The sequence below is a fragment of the Homo sapiens genome, chromosome 3 (assembly GCF_000001405.40).
Source record: "Homo sapiens chromosome 3, GRCh38.p14 Primary Assembly".
Lineage (NCBI taxonomy): Eukaryota > Metazoa > Chordata > Mammalia > Primates > Hominidae > Homo > Homo sapiens.
Genome location: NC_000003.12, coordinates 31226467 through 31227863, shown reverse-complemented (window position 1 = coordinate 31227863; position 1397 = coordinate 31226467). Strand labels below are relative to the sequence as shown.

The window sequence follows — 1397 nt, the reverse complement described above, 5'->3', positions numbered from 1 at the left end:
TGATACTTACAAGTTTAACCCAGAAATGGGTATATTAGAAGCAGAATCAGAGGGCGGCTGACTGTAAGACCTAATCATGCATTTATTTGTTGCTGCCATCCACACCATGCCTGAACCCTAACAGATAAGTCGAGAGAGGCAGAGTGAGGTGAAATAAACCTCTAGGGGCAGCTGAAGAAGACACATATTTCTCTGTAAACCTAAAACTTCTAAAGTCTTTTAGGCTTGGGGTTTTAGTGCTCAAATGGCAAGGAGTTAAACCAGGAGTAATCAGAGGGGTTAATTTACCAAAAAACCAGTTCCCAAGGTTCTTCTTGGGTGGCCGTCCTGAGCTGGTGATGCACGTTCAGTCTGTGCATCTTTTCATCTCTGTGTATGACATTTAAGATGGCAGAAACTTTCCCTACTGGCTACATTCTTCATCTTATTACACCCATCATTGATTTCATTGGCTGGCATTTAAAAGAGGAAGCTTGTTAAACTAAGCTGTTATGCTTGTGGTTTTACAGGTTGGCACAGCAAACAATTATAAAAAAGGAAGAAGCATGCATGGGTGGACAGAAGTGTGTCTCTCCTAACAACATACAAACACACTTCTAGAAAAAAAAAGTCCCCACTAGCACAAAGCATCTCTGAGTGCATTTTGCAACAGCAAACTCCTAATCTCACGATCCTTCTGGACTGTAATAAGTGATGTGAAATGATTTCATTGGATGGGAGATGGAGGTTGGTGCACGTTCCTGGGCCCAGCCCCATATGTGTGGAAGTTATAAATGTGGTCCAGTTTCATTCCATTCCTCACAATTTCTGGGTAAATCAGGTCAATTACAGTTCCATCTTCTGCCACAACATCATGCTTAGCTTGGACAACTCAATACAGGGAACCCAAGTGCAGGGTAGAAGTTAACTAATAATAGTAATAATGAGGATAATAACATTAACTGCTCTGCTCCAGGAATGAAACACAGAGCCCTTACTTAAATCATCTCCAGCTCTTAGAGAACATTTGAAAGCCAAGTGTTATCCTCAGTTTTTAAGTGAGCTGCCCATTTGCCTGTTTGTTCTAATATCAATTTCCTGCCTGCTCCTTCTCTTGCTGTGTTCTGTATTTCAGAGAACTACATTTTCTAGGCCCCCTTGACAATAACTCTCCAGGTAGCTTCAGCCGATAGGAAGTATTGCTATGAAATTGGGGGTCAGAGGAAGTGAGGACCCAGGATTTTCTCCCCTAAGGCCCCCCCCACCCCCACCACTTCACTGGGTGGCACCTCTTGCGTAGCAGCATATCATTCAGTTCTGTTGGCCACCTGCAGCTTCCTGGCCCTGATTAGTTACACCACATCCTCCCATATTCCTCCAACTGCAGGATGGTAGCAGCTTCCTGCAGTTGTTAATCT

General features: G+C 43.5%; 1 annotated feature.

The window, feature by feature from the left end:
* Window positions 593-682: an enhancer, noted in NCBI's record as "active region_19625". NCBI's record gives its function as "activates an Ori minimal core promoter by ATAC-STARR-seq in GM12878 lymphoblastoid cells {active_cell/tissue: GM12878}" and the evidence as "EXISTENCE:reporter gene assay evidence [ECO:0000049][PMID:35858748]".